Source organism: Homo sapiens, chromosome 5 (genome assembly GCF_000001405.40).
Source record: "Homo sapiens chromosome 5, GRCh38.p14 Primary Assembly".
Lineage (NCBI taxonomy): Eukaryota > Metazoa > Chordata > Mammalia > Primates > Hominidae > Homo > Homo sapiens.
In genome coordinates, this window is record NC_000005.10 from 168,389,600 (window position 1) to 168,411,500 (window position 21,901).

The 21,901-nt window shown below is 45.5% G+C and overlaps 1 protein-coding gene across 18 annotated transcripts in view, besides 1 other annotated feature; it reads left to right on the top strand.

Moving 5' to 3' along the window:
• The window catches only part of WWC1 (WW and C2 domain containing 1), a 180,659-nt gene that overhangs the window by 97,955 nt on the left and 60,803 nt on the right, over positions 1 to 21,901 (top strand). For all 18 annotated transcript variants that reach the window (XM_011534485.2, XM_011534486.2, XM_011534488.2 and 15 more), the window contains 5 exons: positions 8,125 to 8,201; positions 9,889 to 9,968; positions 16,599 to 16,728; positions 18,908 to 19,054; positions 20,323 to 20,396. In XM_011534485.2, coding sequence (XP_011532787.1) covers positions 8,125 to 8,201; positions 9,889 to 9,968; positions 16,599 to 16,728; positions 18,908 to 19,054; positions 20,323 to 20,396 — 508 coding nt within the window. The remainder of the gene's footprint in view (positions 1 to 8,124; positions 8,202 to 9,888; positions 9,969 to 16,598; positions 16,729 to 18,907; positions 19,055 to 20,322; positions 20,397 to 21,901) is intronic.
• Positions 19,732 to 20,931: an enhancer, noted in NCBI's record as "MED14-independent group 3 enhancer chr5:167836336-167837535 (GRCh37/hg19 assembly coordinates)". NCBI's record gives its function as "activates an origin of replication core promoter dependent on BRD2, BRD4, P300/CBP and CDK7 cofactors, and independent of MED14, by STARR-seq in HCT116 cells {active_cell/tissue: HCT116}" and the evidence as "EXISTENCE:reporter gene assay evidence [ECO:0000049][PMID:35650434]".

The window sequence follows — 21,901 nt, forward strand, 5'->3', positions numbered from 1 at the left end:
TTTTTTTTTTTTTTTTTTTGTTAATTTTTAAATTCTTGGCACCCAACATGTGACATGAATCTATGACCTGAGATTAAGAGTCTCATTCTCTACCGACTGAACCAGTTGGGCAGAAATGTTAATAGTACCTTCATCTCATGGGACCATGTCAGAGTTTCTTAACCTCAGCACCATTAACATTTCAGTCTGGGTAACTCTTCTTTGTGAGAGCTGTGTATTTTAGGGTGTTTAGCAGCATCCTTGTTCTGTACCCACTAGCTGCCAGTATCACCCCCACCCAAGTTGTGATAACGAAAAATGTCTCTAGATTTTGTCATAAGTGTCATAGGGGATAAAACTGCCCAAACCACTGGTCTAGGTAAGACACTTGGTACTGTTTCCTTAGAACATATTAATGGCTCAATAAATAGTCCTATTGATAGGAAATACATAATATTTTGAGACTATAGACCCTGGAGCCAGACTTTTTTGGTTCAAATCCAGGATATGCAGATTACTAGTTGTTGTAACCTTGCACAAGTTATGCCACTTCTGTGTCTCAGTTTTCTTCATCTATAAAATCAATCTAATCATAGTATCATCTTCATGGGAGTGTTATGGGGTCTAAATTAGTTAACAAATGTAAAGTCCTTGGAATTGTACTTTTCATATTCTTAAGCTCTCAGTAAATAATTATTATTATTAGTTCATTCGCATTGTAAATGAAAAAGAGGTTTTTTTTACAGATCTCTGGAACCAATAAGAATAAATACATGATCAAAGGAAGGAAGTAAACAATACAGTTCCTCAGCCTTGTGATATGACTTCCAGACACTCCCAAGAGCTCCACTGGCCTCAGAGGCACCACCACCATTTTCATTGTTAAATATCTTCTATCTGAAGGGACTAGGGTCATTTCAGGCAACTGGATCTGAGATTCAAACCACACAGAAACTGGGATTCCCCCAGCCCAAGCATCCCAGTTAAACAAGGTGTGACCCAAGCCTCATCATGACTCTGTCTTCAAGTTTTACAAGCCAGGTTTGCCTTCCAAGTCAAGCTCTTGGCATGACAGATGGATGAAGTCACACGCCTGTTCTCTAACTCAGATGGCTTGCCAGGGCTTGTGAGGGTTTTGCCACCTGGCCTTGGCTGCTCTGGGTCCCAGACACAGACGGGGCCCTGCCTTGGGGGTGGAGACTTTGCTGTCGACTCGCTGGTGTAATCTCTAGCTCCATGGGGAAGAAGGGAACTAACATTTAATATGCACCTGTTGTGTGCCTGGAGGGCAATATGTTAGGCACTCTAAGTAATCTCCCTCCTGAATCACACACACAGTCCTCTAAGACAGTGTTGTTCCCATTCTACAGACAAGGGAACTGAGGCCCCCAAAGAGGAAGTGGCTTCCCCAAAGGCACACTGGTAAAGAGTGGCAAGGTAGCCTTTGTAACCAGATATATCTGATCTCAAAATCAATTTTCTTAATTTAACCCACGTCAGTCAGTCAAATGCTAAGGCTCTTCAGCTACACTTGGTTCCTCCACCCTCTAAAAGGTGAGAACTCAAGAGAGCTGGGTTCTTTGGGACCTTATCATATTTTTCCCCTCCCTAGGCCTTGATTTCCCATTTGGAAAATAAATCAGTGAGGGCTTTCTAGTTAAAAATGCCAGTTGAAGCCAGGCTTGGTGGCATATACATGTAGTTCCAGTTACTCAGGAGGCTGAAGTGGGAGGATCGCTTGAGCCCAGGAGTCCAGTCCAGGCAACATTGCAAGATCTCATCTCTAAAAACTAAAAAATGGACCAGGCGCGGTGGCTCACGCCTGTAATCCCAGCACTTCGGGAGGCCGAGGCAGGCAGATCACGAGGTCAGGAGATCGAGACCATCCTGGCTAACACAGTAAACTCCATCTCTACTAAAAGTACAAAAAAGTAGCTGGGCGTGGTGGTGGGTGCCTGTAGTCCCAGCTACTCGGGAGGCTGAGGCAGGAGAATAGTGTGAACCCAGGAGGTGGAGCTTTCAGCGAGCTGAGATCCAGCCACTTCACTCCAGCCTGGGCAACAGAGCAACACTCCGTCTCAAAAAAAAAAAAACAAAAAAACTAAAAAATGCCAGTTGAATCACTCACTTGATTTTACTCACTGCAAAACTAGGAGTATCAGATAAAATATATTTTTAAGGCATATATATATATATATATATATATATATATATATGATTAGGGAAAATTGGAGAAGAAAGAACAGCAATAAAATTTGGAAGCTGGAAAGCAGACAGACAGGTGGCAACCTACGTAGCAGACCTGAGAAAAGAGAAAATGGGCTGATAGTGAGGAAGGCTCACAACACTGTTCTATAGGGCACTTGCAAAAACTGTAGATGTTGGTGGCAGCAGCTATTTCTGCAAGTAAGACTGAAGGGAAGAGGGTCTCAAAGAGGAATGGGTAAAGGTTGTTTCTAAGACAATTAGACCATCAGATCTTTTCCTTAAATCGATACAGTCAGGCAACCACCATCTTCAGTCTGGCAAATGACTGGAAGTTTATTTTTTGGAGAGGGTAAAATAGAGTCTCTGGACTCTAGGACACAAGCAAATTCAGAGCCAGAGTGTACTATCCTGAAAGCACGAGTAAGTGAAGGGTTTTGAGACCTTAGCCCTCATATACCACTTGGTGCCCAGAACAGTGCCAGGTCATTACCCTCTAGGCTGGACAGTAGAGAACTCTACTGGAAATCTGACCAGGGAAGAGATATAAAGAGAAAAGCTGGAAAGACACTGACATTGAGGATTCCTGGATGAAACCAAATCAAGTCCAGCCAAATCATATGCTGTGGCCAGGCGCTCATGCCTGTAATACCAGCACTTTGAGAGGCCGAGATGGGAGGATCACTTGAAGCCAAGAGTTTAAGACCAGCCTGGGCAACATAGTAAGACCCCAACTCTACAAAAAATTTAAAGAAGAAAATTATCCGAGTGTGGTGGCAAGCACCTGTAGTCCCAGCTATTCAGTAGGCTGAGGCAGGAGGATTCCCTGAGTCCAGGAGTTCAAGGTTACAGTGAGCTATGATTGTGTACATTGCACTTCAGCCTGGGCAACAGACACCTGTCTCTTAAATAATAAAATAAATTTTAAAGATAGAAAACAAATAACGTACTGTGCAACTCACAGTCCACAAACCACACTCTAGTCAGCATTTTGGGCTCCCATCCTTAAATATGAGCAGAAAACCAAGATTCCAGATATCCGAGGAAAGCCTCTAACAGAGAAAATAGAGACTCAAACCAACACGTGGTGAAGGGAGGGCTTGGAGGAAACAAGGAGTATGCATGAAGAAGAGACCGTTAAGAGAAGCTATATGGTCAGGAAACAAGAACACGGTACTACATTGTTTAAAAAGGAACCTTCAGAGAATAAAAAAGAGCTCATGGAAATTAAAATATGAGAGTAGAAATGAAAACTCCAAAGGAAGACTGGAAAATAAAATGGAGGAAACCTTCTAAAAATCAGAGCAAAAATACAAGATTGAAAATAAGAGGAAAAAAAAATAGACTACAAGGACAGGAAATCTACTATCTGAGGAAAATATGTTCCAGATAGAACAGAGGAAACAGAGGAGAAAAGCATCGCTGAAATAATTCAGAAACATTTCCCAGAACTGAAGGAGGAGAATTTTTAGACTGAAAGGGTTCACTGAGTGTCCAACACAGTGGATGAAAGTCAGCTCACACCAAGATATCTCACTGTGGAACTTCAAACACTGGGACAATTCAAGATCCTAAAAGCTTTCAGAGAGAAAAAAATCAGGTCACACAGAAATGATCAGGACTCAGAATAGCTCCAGACTTCTCACCAATAGCACTGGAAACCTAAAAGACCATGGTGCAATGCCCTCAGGGATTTAAGGAAAATTATTTCTGACCTAGAATTCTATATCCAGCAAAACTACCTTTAATCAAGTGTAGGGCCGAATAAGGCTATTTTCAGACGTGTGAGATTTTAGAAAGCTCATTTCCTTCATGGTTTCTTTCTCAAGAAGCTACTGGAGATGATGTTCTACCAAAATGAGGTGGGTAGACCATGAAAAGGAAGACGCGGTATACAGAGAGGTGAGGAGACACACAGAGGAACACAAAGGCGGATCTCAGGAAGCCAGCCGAACACAGAGAGCAGCTCGCTCACACTGAAGCAGGGCAGAAGCCCTGGCAGGACAGATCCCAAAATAGAAAACTCACCAGATTCACATTGGTCTGGACTCTATGAGAGGAGATTTAGATAACCAGCAGAATGTGAGGTTGAATTAGTGGTAAGTTTGTAGAAACTAAGCAAACGTAAAAATGACAATAATTAACTCAAGGGGAAAAAAAGTGCTGAAAAGTAAAAGTAAGCAAAGTCAGCTAGCTGATTGCACCCTGAATAGTGTTTGCAGAGTAAAAATAATGCAAACACTGAACATCGCTTTCACCAAAAGTATGCTATTGCTTTTAGGATGACGGGGAGATGGGAGAGGTTCAAGTGCATGCTGTAGGGGCTGGGGAAGGGAAGGAAGGGAGGCTAAGTCCCCACCCTCCTGAGAGGTAAGTAAATAAGTAATGCCGAAAACAGAAAAGATCAAGAAGCAGTAATGCATGCATATAACTAGACACATAGAGGTAGCCACCCAAGAAATTGAAAATGATTTTCTTTTAGGTTGTGAGTTATGGGGATAGGGGTTGTGGAATGCTCTTTTTTATAGCAAACCTCAAACTATGTTGGACTGTTAAACTGTGTTCATATATAACTTTAATAAAAACTAAAAATTAAGAACTATTAAACTTTGGGGCAAGATAGTATTTAAAGTCCTGTTGGATATAAAGTTCTTGTAGCGGGGCCGGGCGTGGTGGCTCACGCCTGTAATCCCAGCACTTGGGGGGCCGAGGCGGGTGGACCACTTGAGGTCAGGAGTTTGAGACCAGCCTGGTCAACATGGTGAAACTCCATCTCTACTAAAAATACAAAAGTTAGCTGGGCGTGGTGGCAGGTGCCTGTAATCCCAGCTACTCGGGAGGCTGAGGCAGGAGAATCGCTTAAACCCTGGAGGTAGAGGTGGCAGTGAGCCAAGTTCACGCCACTGCATTCCAGCCTGGGCAACAGAGGGAGACTCATCTCAATTGAAAAAAAAATAAGTTCTCGTAGTAGAGGATAGTGAAGGGATGCAGACACAAAGGAGAGGCTGATGACCTGTTTTCTTGATTACAGTGCTGATTGCTTGAGCGTGTTTCTTTTGTGAAAATTCCTCAGGCTGTACATACATGATGTGTGCACTTCTATGTATGTATTTTTTACCTCAATCAAACATTTACTTACAAAAGGATAAGTAGCAGGCTACATCTTGTGTCAGCGGCTTTAGGTAAAAATTGTGCACTTCACAGTGATACTCCAGGGTATAAGAATTAAAGCTCCTGGTGGCCTAATTGGTGAGAATCTCTTCTTTTTGGCATCTTTTTGTCTCCAGGATTTCTGGGCATGCCCAAGGAACACGATGCATGCCTCAAGTCAGCCCTGGCGTGACTGGTCTACACAGCCAACCTCTCCCTGTCTGAGTCAGGTCTTGCCATTTTTACAGACTCTTCCACGCTGCTGCCACAGTCTCCTCAACATTGCCCCACAGTACAGACCCATGTCCAGAGGCACAGCCTGATGAACAGGGTGGTTGGCAGGACAGGGTGCTCCTAGAACAGACGTCCCCCGCTCCGCCCCACACCCCTTGAGGACGTTTCTGTGTGTCTTCCCAGGTTATTGCCACACTGACGACTCCTCTCTTCTTTCACCTTGTATTACTGTTGATCAGTGAGTGAGAAATGGTGTTAACTGTCTTAATATTTTGTTGAAAGGACCTATTTGGGAAATACAGCAGGTCCTCAAATAACATCATTTTGTTCAAGGTCATTTTATTATAACATTATAATATTATAACCTCCCCACACTGTATGCTTAAGGTGATACCTCCAGCTAAATATCCAACCAGGTCTATCCCTGAAATCCCCAAGTCTAGCAAAGACCAAAGGAATTAGACACCAGGAGATGAAAACTTTAAATTGGCAATAAAACATCTCTGTACATGGATTCCCTGTTCCATGCTTGAGACAAAGGCTACAAGGCCCTTGCCACCCCAAGTGTTGTCCCCACTCATCTCTTCTGGTAAACCTCGGTCTTCTTTTTCTCCATCATCATTATCATTGTAAATTCAGCAGAAATGCAACACTTCTTGTGGTGCCAAATATCTTTTATGTTATTATGCAGAGCAGTTTTCTCATCCCCCAAACTTCCAAGTATTACATTTTAATGCCTTATGCATAACCAAAAGGCCTATTAAAATATTTTTAAACAAAGCCAAACAGTAGCATTCCCCTCATGACTGTCATGCCTACCTCCAGACACTGACAATTGCCAGCAATCACCAAATAAGCTTCTCTATCCTCAGAAAAACCCAGATCTCAGCAGGTGATCTGGCTACATGTGAACATTAAAGAGTGTTCAGATGATAGCCAGGTGCGGTGGCTCACGCCTGTAATCCCAGCACTTTGGGAGGCCCAGGCAGGCAGATCACCTGCAGTCAGGAGTTCAAGACCAGCCTGGTCAATATGGTGAAACTTTGTCTCTGCTAAAAATACAAAATTATCCGGGCATGGTGGAGCGTACCTGTAATCCCAGCTACTCAGGAGGCTGAGACAGGAGAACAGCTTGAACCCAGGAGGCAGAGGTTGTAGTGAGCCAAGACTGTGCCACTGCACTGCAGCCTGGGCAATAGAGTAAGACTTCGTCTCAAAAAATAAAAAAGAAAAGAAAAGAAAAACCCAGATCTCAGCAGGTGATTTGGCTACATGTGAACAGGAAAGAGTGTTCAGATGGTAGTAGGTAGGCAGGGGAGATGATGAAATTGTTCCTACAGTGTGATTAAGGACTCACAGGAGAAATACTTCTCTGGCCTCCCGACCAAGAATAACTGTTCTTTTCTGAACAGTGGGGTTGTGTTTACCTTAAGGACACCACAAATCTTATATCTGGTCCTATTTCCCCCTCACATTACCAGTTATGAGGCTCAGAGCTTGTCGCCAGTTTGTTTCCTTATCCTTATTTTCTCTTTGTCTAGTTTTCCTTAGTTTAAATGTATTTTACTGTGTAGTATTCACTTTCATAAGCCTTAAAATCCTTTTTCAAGACATTAGTAAATACTATTTTTAAAATACAGTAAGATTACAACTACGTGATAGAACCGTGGATATATACTGGAAGGCAACCTAGGAAAACGATAATTGTATTAGGGTGGTAAGATATGGATAATTTATTTTCCTTTTTGAATGTACATTAATATTATAAAGTACAATCAACAATACTTTTATTTTTTTCTGATTGTAAAGCATATGTTTATTGTTTTTAAAAAAAGAAAAGATAAAAATATAAAGATGATAATATCATTTACCATCTAACTCTCTAGATATCAGTGTTCTCTTTGGTATTTTTTTCAGTCTTCTTAAAATGCATATGTGTGTGTATATTTGGAAACTATATTTTCCAAATTTAAATTATTCTTTTTTTTTTTTTGAGATGGAGTCTCGCTCTGTCACCCAGGCTGGAATGTGATGGCGCGATTTCGGCTCACTGCAACCTCTGCCTCTCAGGTTCAAGCAATTCTCATGCCTCAGTCTCCTGACTAGCTGGGACTACAGGCGCCCACCACCATGCCCAGCTAATTTTTGTATTTTTAGCAGAGGCGGGATTTCCCCATGTTGGCCAGGCTGGTCTTAAACTCCTGATTTCAGGTGATCCCCCTGCCTCAGCCTCCCAAAGGGCTGGGATTATAAGCTTCAGCCACTGTGCCTGGCCCCAAATTTAAATTATTCTTTACACTTTTTTTGTAAACTTGCTTTCACATAATGAGTTTCAACATTTTCCCTTGTCATTCAATATTCTTCATCCTCATTTTAAGTTGCGTAGTCCCCGTTTGCGCGTGTACCATCTTTATGTAACAAATCCCCCTTTGTTGAACATTTAGGTTGTTCACTTTTAGTCCTTCCCTTTCTAGGTTTATTTAGATGGCCAATAAGCCAACTTTGCTGAAATCTGTTTCTTCTACTGATATTCTTGTTTTTCTTTTTTCCTTACAGTGGTCTCTGGTTCATCATCCAGCTCCAAGTATGACCCTGAGATCCTGAAAGCTGAAATTGCCACTGCAAAATCCCGGGTAGGACCTCTTCACCTATGCTATGTGCTAGTGATTGGGGCCACTGAGGTCTTAGGCCACAAGCCCACCCACAAGACCAGAACAGATGCTCCAGCCAGGCTATGACAGCCAGTGCTAGCAAGGTCCTAAATAATAACAGTAGAAGCGGTAGTCACAGTAATAGTAATGGTTGTAGCAGCTACCATTTCACAAGCAGTCACCATGTACCAGGCACAGTGCGAAATATCTCATGTGTATTATCTCGTGTCTATGAAGTAACTACCGTCATCTGCATTTTATTATTTTTATTTATTTATTTATTTATTTTTATTTTTATTTTTTGAGACAGAGTCTCGCTCTGTCACCCAGGCTGGAGTGCAGTGGCACGATCTGCGCTCACTGCGTGCTCTGCCTCCTGGGTTCACGGCATTCTCCTGCCTCAGCCTCCCAAGTAGCTGGGACTATAGGCGCCCGCCACCACACCTGGCTAATTTTTTGTATTTTTAGTAGAGACGGGGTTTCACTGTGTTAGCCAGGATGGTCTCGATCTCCTGACCTCGTGATCCACCTGCTCAGCTTCCCAAAGTGCTAGGATTACAGGTGTGAGCCACCACCAAGCTGTCACCTGCATTTTAAAGATGAGCAAACAGAGGCTTAGGGGAGCTAAGAAACTTGCCTAAGGTTACAAGAGATTCAAGTCTTACTCCAAAGTTTCTAATATAGTGTACTGTCTTCCTAGCTACTGATTATTCTGCATTATCTTATTTTAATTACTTCATGATTACCTTAGGGCATAAATATTAGTATTTCCATTTTACCAGTATGGAAACTGAGGCACAGCAGTGAAATTACTTGCTCGTGGCAAAGTCAGTATTTTGAATAGTGGTTTAGTTAAACTCAAAGAATTTAACAATTTCCACAAACTCAGATGCCTGCAAGAAGACATAAATGAGGGATGTGGGCTGGGGGTGAGGCAGTAGAGAGTTGTGGTGACTGTGTAACCAGGAGAGGTCTGCCCAGTCTTAAAGGTAATTGCATTTGAACTCTAGTCCAGCCCATGCTGGAATGTGGGCCCAGTGTTACCAGATCTTCAGATGTTTTCATAAAGGAACTGTGTGTCTAGGTTTATTATGTGACCTTTCTGAAGATTTGATTATTAGCAACTCATTTTAAAAGTTGAATAATACAGTGTAGGCCACACAAACCAGCAGACCGAGTCTAGCTCCTAAGGCATGTCTTGCCACTAAAGTTACTAAGTTGCCTCTTGCCTCCACGTGAAGCACTCTCATAGCCTTTGCCAGCTTTAAGTGATCCATGGCTCTGGAAATTGCCATTGTCCTCATCCATCAGAACAGGAAAGGGAGGCTCAGGATGGCAAGACAGCTTGAGAGAGTTCACACAGCGAGGAAGTGGGAAGGCCCACTCTATCCCAGGTCAGCTCCTGTCCACCTGTTTCCCTGGAGCAAGGACTGGCTAGGAATGACCTACAGAAACACTGCCTGGGATGCTGACTGAATGGGCATCTGCAGAGACCAAGGCCAACATCGGTGACAGGAGGGGGCTCTGACCAGTGTGGCGCAAGGGGTGCTGACCTGAGTCATTATGCAGGCGCAGTGGGAGGCTCTGGGTTCCCTTTCCAGGGAGAAGGCAGCCTGCACCTTGGTGTCAGCCTCTGACCCAGCCCTGTGTGTGGTCTGCTGCCCTCCAGGTCAACAAGCTGAAGAGAGAGATGGTTCACCTCCAGCACGAGCTGCAGTTCAAAGAGCGTGGCTTTCAGACCCTGAAGAAGTAAGTACACCCTGCATCCCAGAGCATGGGGGCTGCTCCCCACCCTGGTTCCCCTCCTGTCCTCTCTGTCTCTCTCTCCTTCAGTCCCTTTCCTCCCTTCTCAAAATGTGGCTCTCTCATCATTCAATTCAAGTTCTGTTCCACTGGCATTTCCTGAAGATACTGCCACCCAAGGGTGGGGTTTGGAAAGAGGAAAGGGGAGTCATTTCAGACCACAGAACACTCATTGTCCCGTGGACTCCTGAAGCCATTAAGATTTGTTCCACTCAGCCGAGTGTTACTATCCAGTCACAGAAACAAGTATTGCCCAGCATTTCTGTGCACACGCCTCATCTCTAGTCAATCCAGTAGGGTCTCATATGCACACAAACAAAATACACTTCTTTTTTCCATATCCCCTAAAAGCAGTCACTAAGTGCTTCAGTGAAGGATTAATGATCTCTTCTAGCAAAAACCAATTACTAGAAAAGTATGCACAATGCCATATGCATTGTGCTCTATGGGTGACTTAAGGAGTTTCCAGGATAACTTTCACCAAATGTAATTTTCACCCTTAGAAGCTGAGCTGTGGCCAGGTAAAATACAGCTCCGTTGTGTCTTCTTCTTCTTCTTTTTTTTAACTTTTATTTGAAGTTCGGGGTACATGTGCAGGTTTGTTACACAGGTAAACTTGTGTCATGGGGGTTTGTTGTACAGGTTATTTCATCACCCAGGTATTAAGCCTAGTACCCATTAGTTATTCTTCCTGATCCTCTCCCTCCTCTCACCCTCCACCCTCCCAGAGGCCTCAGTCTGTGTTTTTCCCCTCTATGTGTCCATGTATTCTCATCATTTAGCTCCCACTTATAAGTGAGAACACGCAGTAGCTTCGTTGTTTCTTAAGAGTGGTTGTGTTACCTGTTGTGATTGTGACGATATTAGCTAAGCTTTGTTGAGCAGTTACTCTGTGCCAGGGAACCCCTGCAGTGTTTCCATGCAGGTGTGTTCCTTTGATCCTATAGCAACACTGTAAGGAATGCTTTGTTATATAACTACCCCCATTTTATAGATGAGAAAACTGAGTCACTTAGCAGGTACTCAAGAAAGGTTAGCTTATTGTGGCTGGGCACAGTGGCTCAGGCCTGTAATCCCAGCACTTTGGGAGGCCAAGGTGAGAGGATTGCTTGAGCCTGTGAGTTGGAGGTTGCAGTGAGCTGATTGCACCACTGCACTCCAGTCTGAGTGGCAAAGTGAGACCCTGTCTTGAAAGAATGAGAGAGAGAGAGAGAGAGAGAAGGGGAGGGGAGGAGAGGAAGGAAAGAAGGGAGGGAAGAAGAAAGAAAGGGAGGGAGGGAGGGAAGGAAAGGAAAGGAAAAAGAACGAGAGAGAAAGAGAAAAAGCCCTCCAGTCTGGGTGACAAAGTGACACCCTCTCTCCAAAGAAAGAAAGAAAAAAAGAAAGGAAGGAAGGAGAGAGGAAGAAAGAGAAGGAGAGAGAGAGAAAGCAAGCCCTGCAGTCTGGTTGACAAAGTGAGACCCTGTCTCGAAAAAAAGGAAAAAAAGAAAGAAAAGAAGGAGAGAGAGGAGGAGAGAAAGAAATTAAGAAAGGGAGAGAGAAAGATGTTAGCTTATTGTTGTTATTAACTACAGCATGTAACAGACTCATTCATTGAATTGTGTTCAGTGTATCCAATGGGCTCACTGGACAATCATTATGAAGGTCACCTGGTAGCCCTCTTAGAAGCTCTAGGCAAGACACTCGGCAGATTTCTCCCTTCTAAGGGGGCAGCTCACTTACATTCCCAGGGAGGCCACACCTGTATGGATGGCTGTTTCTCGCTTTTTGTCCCTCCCTGACTGCTATACCTTTTCCTCATTCCATGAATTTCAAATCCACCCTCATCATTCTGTGGCCATAGCCCCAAGCCTTTGGCTGTCTATCTCCAAGCCCTATTAGTTGAGGGAACTGTGGTCATCCGTTGAGGGACCAGTTGGTTCTTTTTCACGTCTTCCCACCCCACAAGTCCCCACCGCCTGGGGTGAGCCACACAAATTCAGCACAACACATGCTGTAAGAAAGTATGGCTTTGTATTATTACAAATTGTATGTAATTTTTGTGTCTTACAAAGTATTATAAATTATGGCTTTCTGTATGTTTACATCTACGTTATATACGTGTTATTTATATATGTGTGTATACATATACCAATCTTGTCTCTCAAACCGGATTCTGAACTTTTTAAGGCCTGGAACCATGCTTTATGCTTCTTGGTAATCTTCAGTAGCACCATTGACAGTTTGGGGCAATAGTATAAGCTTAGAAAATGCCTATTTTTGACCTATTGAAGCAATAGCCTGATTCCTCCACTTTGCAGCAAAATGGCTTCTGAGCACACAGTTTAAGGGCTACTCACTCCCACATCATTTTACTGAATGGGTTCTCTCTGCTTCCTGGCTACTGCAGTCCAAGAGCTTCTGGTTAGAACACTTCCCATTATTCTCTGAGCCACTGCAAACCTGTTTTACCACTTTGTCACCCTGTAGCAGCATTGAAAACTCTTGTTGTTTGGTAAGCTGATGCTGAAACCCCAAAGACAAGCCTCCTTTCTTCCCCTCCCTCTGCCCCATGTTTGATATCAGGACAGATAAGACTCCATGGCAGCTCCAGCCGCCCACACTCCTTAGCCGGAAGCTGGGCTCTGCGTCCAGTGTGGAGGAAGATGCGTCCTTTAATGTACACCTTGGCAGAGAGGGTCAGGAATGTAGTCTTGAGAGGCAGGTGGTCAGGGTTCAAATCCCAGTTCCCTGGGTCCTTGGAAAAGTGACTTAACCCCTGTGAGCTTTGACTTCATTTGAAAAACTAGGGATTGTAAAGATTGAATTGGAAAATCCGTGTCAAGTGTGTGGTAATGCCTGGCATGAGGGAAGAGCTCCTTGAGAGTGGGCTGGGGTGGTGACCTCTAGCTGGTTGCCTGCTTGTATTGGGAAGGGAACTCGGATGAACTCTTTGTCTGCCCTGGGCTAGACAGTGTGCTGGGGAAGCACTTCACGCCAGCCACCTCATTTCATTCTCTTCACCCCCCTTTTAAGAGACGTTTTTGTCCTGCCATATATTACAGATGAGGGCACTGGAAGGGTTGAAAACATGCCCAAAGCCACCCAGCTAGCAGGTGACAGGGCTGAAACCCAGGACTACTGGATTTTGAAGTTCATGGCTCAATACCTCCCTTCCCAGCATCATCCCTGATAACTCCCTCCTCATTCCCAGAAAATGTAAGGCCCCTTTTTCAGAGTCTAACAGGGATGCTATCCAGTCACTTCTACTTCTGTGCCTACCCTGCGGCAGAACATGGAGAAAGGTACAACTTATCCTTAAGGAATTTCCAGGATAACTTTGACCACATGTAATTTCCCCTATTAGAAAATTTCTCTTTAGCAGCCAAAAGCTCTGTTGTTTCTTTTTCTTTCTTTCTTTCTTTCTTTCTTTCTTTCTTTCTTTCTTTCTTTCTTTCTTTCTTTCTTTCTTTCTTTCTTTTCTTTCTTTTCTTTCTTTCTTTCTTTCTTTTCTTTCGACAGAGTCTTGCCCTGTCACCCAGGCTGGAGTGCAGTGGCGCAATCTCAGTTCACTGCAACCTCCGCCTCCCAGGTCCAAGCGATTCTCCTGCCTCAGCCTCCTGACTAAATGGGACTACAGACACGTGCCACCATGCCCGGCTAATTTTTTGTATTTTTAGTAGAGATGGGGTTTCACTGTGTTAGCCAGGATGGTCTCGATCTCCTGACTTCGTGATCTGCCCACCTGGGCCTCCCAAAGTGCTGGGATTACAGGTGTGAGCCACCGTGCCCAGCCAGCTCTGTTGTTTTTGAAGAGCAGCTATGTCACCTGTCATGATTCTGATGACACCAGCTAAGCTTCTTTGGGCAGCTGAGTTACTCTGGACCACGAATCCATATTAGTTCAATTCATAGTCAGCAACCTGTTTAAAAAAGAGAGGAGAGAAAAGGTTGATGAGGATTAAAGGTTGCCTCTTGGAGGAGATTGCAAAGAAAAATCAAGACGAAAGCTTGGGACTTTGACTTGCCAGCTCCCTTGCAAATAGGGAAGAGTGGAGACCAGGCATCTCGCCCCTGTCGGGGGAGGGCAGTGCAGCACCTCTCTACAAAGCACGAGCCCTGCCGTGCCCAGGCAGGAGGTGTCTGGACAGGACCAGGAGTTGGCTGCTGTCAGCCTTTGCCCCACCTCTCTGTGGCTACTGGGTATGTGAATCTCTCAAGGCCTGAAGAGAGGACAGCTGAGGAATTTGGAAATCCTAAAACACATGCATACACACACACACACACACACACACACACACACACACACACTTTTCTTTCCCTTAAAAAAAAAAAGATTCATTCACCGTGTGCATAATGGTGACCCTTTGTTCTCCCCCGACCCCCTCCCCACCCAGCTTCATCCCAATAGTGTTCCCTCTCAGAGCCGCTCTCTGGAGCCAAATTCCAGAGGCCGGGTTGCTAAGGCCCTTGAAGAAATCAGGTAGAGGCTGTTGGAGGCCTGGCAGACAAACCACTTCTGTCTCATCCTGCAAGGGATTCGAAGCCCTTCTTGCCCTGTTGGCAGAGGACAGCTGGGCACAGCCCCCTCCCCAGAGTCCCCAGCCCTCAGATATGCTCCAACAAACAACAACTCCCTGCAGCCCCTATGCCCATCTGCAGCAGGGCCACTGCCTGTCCCGGACACTGGCTGTGGGGAGCCTCCTTGCCACGGAGCATCTTCTAAGCTCCCTTAGACTAATTTTTCAGACTAAATCTGGGGCCGGTCCTTGCCGACCTGATAGGCCTGCCGAGGCCCGAGTCCTGGAAAGGAATAGACAGGCTATTTTTAGTGGGGAGACATAAACGGGGCTTTGTTTTCTCTCCATGGAGGCTGAAGTAACCGCAGGGGGAGCCTGTGTTGAGACCGTGCTCCATGCCTCGCTCTCTCCTCTGCTTGGAGGCGCAGACGATGAGGCCGGGATGAAAACTTGCTTCTGCTCAGGATTCCCCATGAGGGTTATTTTTAGCCCAGGACAGTTTGGTCTGTAGCAGGAAACCACAAAGGAATGCCTGTGAGTAGTTTCTCATCCTGAAATAATGAGTTTGTGGTGTTCCCGCAGACTGTAAAACTCCTTTTTCTCCACCTTGGACTGAAACCTCAGGCCTAGCCTTTGGCGAAAGTGTGATGTAGTTAAAATGCATCTCTGCCCCTGGACCTTTTTGACACCTCGGCCCTCCTTCTCCAGAAGCTCACCCCTGCCTGTCTCTGGTTTGGTCTGACCTTCAGAAAACTATGTCAGGACACTTTTTTTTTTTTTTTTTTAATTTTTCCCCCATCAAAATGAACCTGTATGTAGGGCCTGGATAAGCCAATAAGCTCTCCAGACTAGAAGCGTTTTAATCCCTTATGTTTGTACAGTAATTCTTAGCTCATCACAAGATTGCCCATCCCATATTCCATTTGATGTTCTTGACAACTTCATGAGTATGGGCTAGGTGGATAATGTTATCCAGGCTTTTTAGAGGAGGAAACTGAGGCTCTGTGTATTTGAGAGACAACCTCAGGGTCATCCTAGTAATAGGTAGTAGGGCTGGGAGTTTTTCATCCTTCTCTCCTTTTCTTCATTGTGTTCATTAGCTCAACACATGCTTATTAAAGACTGGTTCTTGACCAGCATGATTTTGCTCCGTCTCCCTCAAGGGACATTAGGTAATACATGGAGATATTTTCAGTTGTCACCATTCAGGGTGGGGGTACCACCAGCATCTTGTGGGGTGAGGCCAGGTATACTGCTAAATATCATACAATGCACAGGACAGCCTGCCCTCCCTCCAAAAAAGAATGAGACAGACACGTTCAACTCTGCCTCCTGTTCCCAAGCCTCCCAGAGTCAAGTCAACGATGCTACCGCATAAACTATAAATTATCACACAATGTAACGACTGCAGAGTCACAGCTATGTGTGATGTATATGGGAAGCCCCTACCCAGCCCGGAGGACCCAGGGAAGTAATCAGGGAAGGCTTCCCATAAGAGCTGATGTTTAGAGGACTGTGACTTCATGAGCAGTGTTGCTTCTGCAGCCACACACGTTGGCCGTTTAACAGGGACTTTCTATGCCTTTTTTTTTTTTCCTTTTCTTTCTTTCTTTTTTTTTTTTTTGAGACGGAGTCTTGTTCTGTCTCCCAGGCTGGAGTGCAGTGGCATGATCTCAGCTCACTACAACCTCTGCCTCCCAGGTTCAAGCAATTCTCATGCCTCAGCCTCTCAGGCAGCTGGAATTACAGGCTTGTGCCACCATGCCCAGCTGATTTTTGTATTTTTGGTAGAGACGGGGTTTCACCATGTTGCTCAAGTTAGTCTTGAACTCCTGGCCTCAAGTGATCCACCTGCCTTGGCCTCCCAAAGTGTTGGGATTACAGGTGTGAGCCACCATGCCCAGCCCGGGACCTTCTATGCCTTATCCCACAAGTGGGACCTAGGGAGGAAGGGTTAGCAGGACAGAGGGAGGGGCCTTCTTAAGGGACTGAAGTCCTGTGGTCTGTGCTTTTCCCCTGGGGAGACCCTGTCCCTCACCCTATCTAAGGCTGACCTTTCCCATTAACTGTCTCCTAGAATCGATAAGAAAATGTCTGATGCTCAGGGCAGCTACAAACTGGATGAAGCTCAGGCTGTCTTGAGAGAAACAAAAGCCATCAAAAAGGCTATTACCTGTGGGGAAAAGGAAAAGCAAGATCTCATTAAGGTATGCAAGTTCCTGTTGATGTGGGTGCCATCTTGATTTCTCCTGAGTATTCCTGTATGCCAGTCGTATGCGGGCTATTTCCACGTGGTACACACATCACTGAGTTCTCATTACCAGTCTTCCTGGGGTTTTGGTTCCATTTCATAGAGGAGGACGTGGAGGCTCAGAAGCATTAAGTGACTTTGCATAAGGTCACACAGCTAGTGTAAATGGCAGAGTTGGAATGGAAGTCATCTGGCCTAGTCCAAAGGCCACATCCTTGCCACTAGCTCTAACTACCTGACTTATTTTTTCTTTGTTTTTTAAACTTTTATTTTTTAATAGGGAGAGTCGGCCGGGCGCGGTGGCTCACGCCTGTAATCCCAGCACTTTGGGAGGCTGAGGCGGGCGGATCATGGGGTCAGGAGATCGAGACCATCCTGGCTAACACGGAGAAACCCCGTCTCTACTAAAAAATACAAAAAATAAGCCAGTTGCAGTGGCGGGCGCCTGTAGTCCCAGCTACTCGGGAGGCTGAGGCAGGAGAATGGCGTGAACCCAGGAGGTGGAGCTTGCAGTGAGCCGAGATAGCACCACTGCAGTCTGGCCTGGGCGAAACAGTGAGACTCTGTCTCAAAAAATAAATAAATAAATAAATAAAGAGAGAGAGAGAGAGTCTTGCTATGTTGCTCAGGCTGGTCTTGATAACTCCTGGGCTCAAGAGATTCTCCCACCTTAGCCTCCCAAAGTGCTGGGATTACAGGCTTGAGCCAGCGCACCTGGCCCCTGCCTTATTTTTCAAGGAATGAAATGGAGGGAGGTGGTTTCAACATCATTAACCTCTGACATCAAAATGTAGCATCTCTATAAGCATTTCATTGTGTGTTCTGCCTCTATGCTGGGAACTGAACAAATTATAATAGATATTATGTAATGTGCCAGGTGATTATGCCAAGCCTTTTGTATGCATCATGTCTCATCTCTTAAATCAACCCTAGTTTATCCCCATCCTACAGAAAAAAGACTGTACAACTCAGAGAGGAAGCTAGAGCGGTGATTCAAACCCTGACTTACAGACCCATTCTCTTACCCCCTGTACATATCACCTCCCTTTCCACAAACCACCCTGACCTCAGATATTTCACTGGCAGATTAGGAGTCCTCAGAGATGCTATAAATGACTTAGTGAAGGAAGCTGTATGCTCTATGAGAAACAGAACAGTTTGGAAGCTCCTGCCCAGGACAGCAGCCCAGTGAAAACATTTAGATGAAGAGCTCATGGACAGTGAGGCATGTTCCTGTTATGATTAGTGGTTGAGATCATGGAGCCTTAAGCCAGATAGACCAGGTCCAAATCTTGCCTCGGTCAATTGCCAGCTTCTCATCGATAAATTGGGGATAATCATAGGTCATTCTTTGTATGACTATTGTCAGGATTCAGTAAGACTCTGGTAAAGCTGACAGTTACTGAGTATGGGCTGTATTCACTAGTGTTTTATACTTGTCATCTCATTTAATCAAGATGATGGCCCTGTGAGATAGGACCTGCGATTCTTCCCCCCTTTTTTTTTTAAGAACCAGGGTCTCGCTCTATCACCCAGGCTGGAATGCAGTGGCATGATCATAGCTCACTGCAGCGTCAAACTCCTGGGCTCAAGCAATCCTCCCACCTCAGCCTCCCAAGTAGTTGGAACTACAGACATGCACCGCCACATCCAGCTATTTTTTTTTTTTTTTTTTTTTAGAGATGGGAGTCCCACTGTGTTGCCCAGGCTGATCTTGAATTCCTGGCCTCAAGTGATCCTCCCAGCTCGGCCTCTCAAAGCACTGGGATTACAGGCATGAGCACCCAGCTGATTATTCCCATTTTATAGGAGAGGAAATTGAGGCAAAGAGAGGTTATTCAGCTAGGTCAAGTCACACAGCTGGGAAGCAGCAGAGCAGGGATTCCAACTAGGGCATGTGGCTCCAGAGTCGGCATCCACACCGGTTTCTCCTATGTCATAGGCCCAGCGCAGAGCCTGGCACACAGCAAGGACCCACTCACTGCTAGCTCTCTATCACAGGATCAGTAGGATATCTGGGGAGGGCACAGGTTCCTAAATTAAGGGAGGGTAGAGAGGGAAGCACAGGGAGCGTGGCAGACCCAGAGCTCCCTCCTGGGAAGGCGCATCACTAACCCTGCTCTCCCCTCCTTCAGAGCCTTGCCATGTTGAAGGACGGCTTCCGCACTGACAGGGGGTCTCACTCAGACCTGTGGTCCAGCAGCAGCTCTCTGGAGAGTTCGAGTTTCCCGCTACCGAAACAGTACCTGGATGTGAGCTCCCAGACAGACATCTCGGGAAGCGTGAGTAGACGGGGCAGGTTGCTGGGGGCCTTCCACAGGATGGCAGCTGGGAGGCTGCTGTAATGGACAGCTGCCTTCTCATGGCTCACCAGGGAGCTGGCCAGGGGTTCTCTGCAGGGCTGGCTGCTGCCTCAGCCCTCTGGAGCTCTGTTCTCTTACAGACCTCCTGGCCCCAGGAGGATATGATGTGATGCTGTGGAGGAAAAGCCTGCACTGACGGACGTCATGGCCCTGAGTATTGCCTGGCCAGGTGCTTGTGTCTCTTAATGCTGCACAGAAAGCATGTTTAAAGGACAAAATGTCTTTCTCTGGTTTTTTTTTTCCATACTATTTTGCAGTTCCATTTTCATTTTTCTTTCCCCAGCTGGACAGCAGAGGATATTTTCCTCCTGTTAGTCTCAAAACAATGCATGCAGCTTTCAGGCAGCTGCTTGACTCCCAGTTCCAAAGCTCAGTCCAGTCCTAGTTATGAATAGTGAAAGCACTGTCCAGATGTGGCTCAGGAAAGAGTTAGAGTAGGGCTGAACCATGGTGCCTCGTAACTTTTGGAGAGCTTTTGTTTTACTAGAGCCAGCAACATTGAACGAATCTGCCTTCCAGCCTCTGTGGCGGACAGCCTCTATATGCTGTTCCTATCTAAGTTCCATAGCTGTCTTCCCACTTGTCCAAGGGTGACCGGTGAGCCTTGTAGCTTCTTGCTGCTCTTAACAGACTAGCACAGAAAAAGAGGCTGTCCCTTCCTTCCCCATACCACCATGTGTCCAGCTACTAGCCATCTGCAGGCCAAAGTATTTGTAAAGGAACTGTACCCCTCTTTGTGAGTGCAGGGGTCTTCTCCCCAACTACCCAGTGTTTCACTCCTGACTGCAGCCTCTGAGTTTTCTATGGATCCCCTCACCAGTGCCCCTAGAATGAGTTTCTTGATATTGGCTATCCCTGTTTCCTCCTCACCAACTGTCCTCCATGCTTCTGTGGCTTGAATGGGCACCAAGCCAAGCCATTTGGGGCTGCAAGATGATATTCTGGGCTTTTGGCTTCTATTTTCAAAGTGATCGATGTCTGAGCGTACGGTTCTTCCCGTGGCCTGAAGGGAGGAAAGTGTTTTTGCTTAACCAGCTTCCCTGCGATCTGCACCGCCAGCCCAGTCACCGGGGGCTATTCTTGGCTACTGCCCACGCAAGCTGTCAAGTCTCTCATGAGCCCTCGAAACCCAACTCAGCACCGGCCACAACAGCCACATAATTCCTGACTTTGTTCTTCTCCTCCAGTTCGGCATCAACAGCAACAATCAGTTGGCAGAGAAGGTCAGATTGCGCCTTCGATATGAAGAGGCTAAGAGAAGGTAATTGGGCTGGGGCTAGGGGCGGGATGGTTCCAAAAATAATAACTACTATTGTAGAATGCCTGCTCTGTGCTTAGCTTTTCACACACTTCGTCTTCTTTAATCCTCACAAAGATTATGAAGATAGTTATTATACTTTTTATATTTTCATCCTCTCTGAAATTCAGAGAGGAAATGACTCACCCAGGACACTTCACAAGACAGAGAGTGAAACTATGCTTTGAACCCAGATCTGTTTAACCTCAAAGCCGAGTTATCTTCCCACTTGCCTGTCTTGATTTCTGCAACCGAGGCTTTCCCATGATCCTGTAAGCATTTTGGTTTGAAGGAGTACAACTGGAATTTCAGCAACAGGCTAAAAAGATTATGGACACTACCCACTTCAGTGTCTCCTGCACAGCTGGGAGCAAGCTGGGCTTTTAAGCAGTGTAGACCTCTGGGATTTAGATGTTCTGTGGCTTCACAGAATCCTAAGCAATCAGGTTCCACTACCACAAGTAAAATCAAAATAATAATCAAAGCTGACATTTTTAGAGCATCTGTTATAGGCCTAAAGAGATTTTTATTTTTAATTACTTTGTTTTCTTTTTTAGGGACAGGGTCTCGCTATGTTACTCAGGCTGGTCTTGAACTCCTGGCCTTAATTGATCCTCCCACCTCAGCCTCCTGAGTAGCTGGGATTACAGGCACGCACCACTACCCTTGGCTGAGATTGTTTATTGTACTAAAACATTTGTGCATGCATCTTCTCATTTAATTTTAAAAGCAATGCATCTTCTCATTTAATTTTAAAAGCAACCTTATAGCACAGGGTCTATCTTATTATCTCCATGTTAGAGAGGAGAAAGGTAAGACCAAGATATTTCATGACTATTCCAGGTGGTAGAGGCAGAATTTGAATCCTGGACAATCTGTCTTTAAGTTCATGATCTTTGCTTTTTTTTTTTTTTTTTTTTTGAGACGGAGTCTCGCTCTGTCACCCAGGATGGAGTGCAGTGGCGCGATCTGCAAGCTCCGCCTCCCGGGTTCACGCCATTCTCCTGCCTCAGCCTCCCGAGTAGCTGGGACTACAGGCACCCGTCACAACGCCCGGCTAATTTTTTTGTATTTTTTAGTAGAGACGGGGTTTCACCGTGTTAGCCAGGATGGTCTCAGTCTCCTGACCTTGTGATCCACCCACCTCAGCCTCCCAAAGTGCTGGGATTACAGATGTGAGCTACCGCACCCGGCCAAGTTCATGATCTTTCTGTACTCTGAGCCAGTGTTACTGGCAAAGAATGCCCTGGGCATTGTGGTGTGGATGGAAGCCAGGCACATTGCATCCATTCCTTCCTAGACTAAGTTGCCTGGCCTGTGGACCTTCTCAGCCAGGCCAGGTGAAGCATGGCAGTGCCCAGCTCTGCCCCTCTGCCAACTCTGTGTGAATAGTAGAACTCTTTGCAGAGATGACAGAAATCTAATAGAAACCAGAGAAAGCAAAAAAGGGAATGTATTGTGTTATTTAA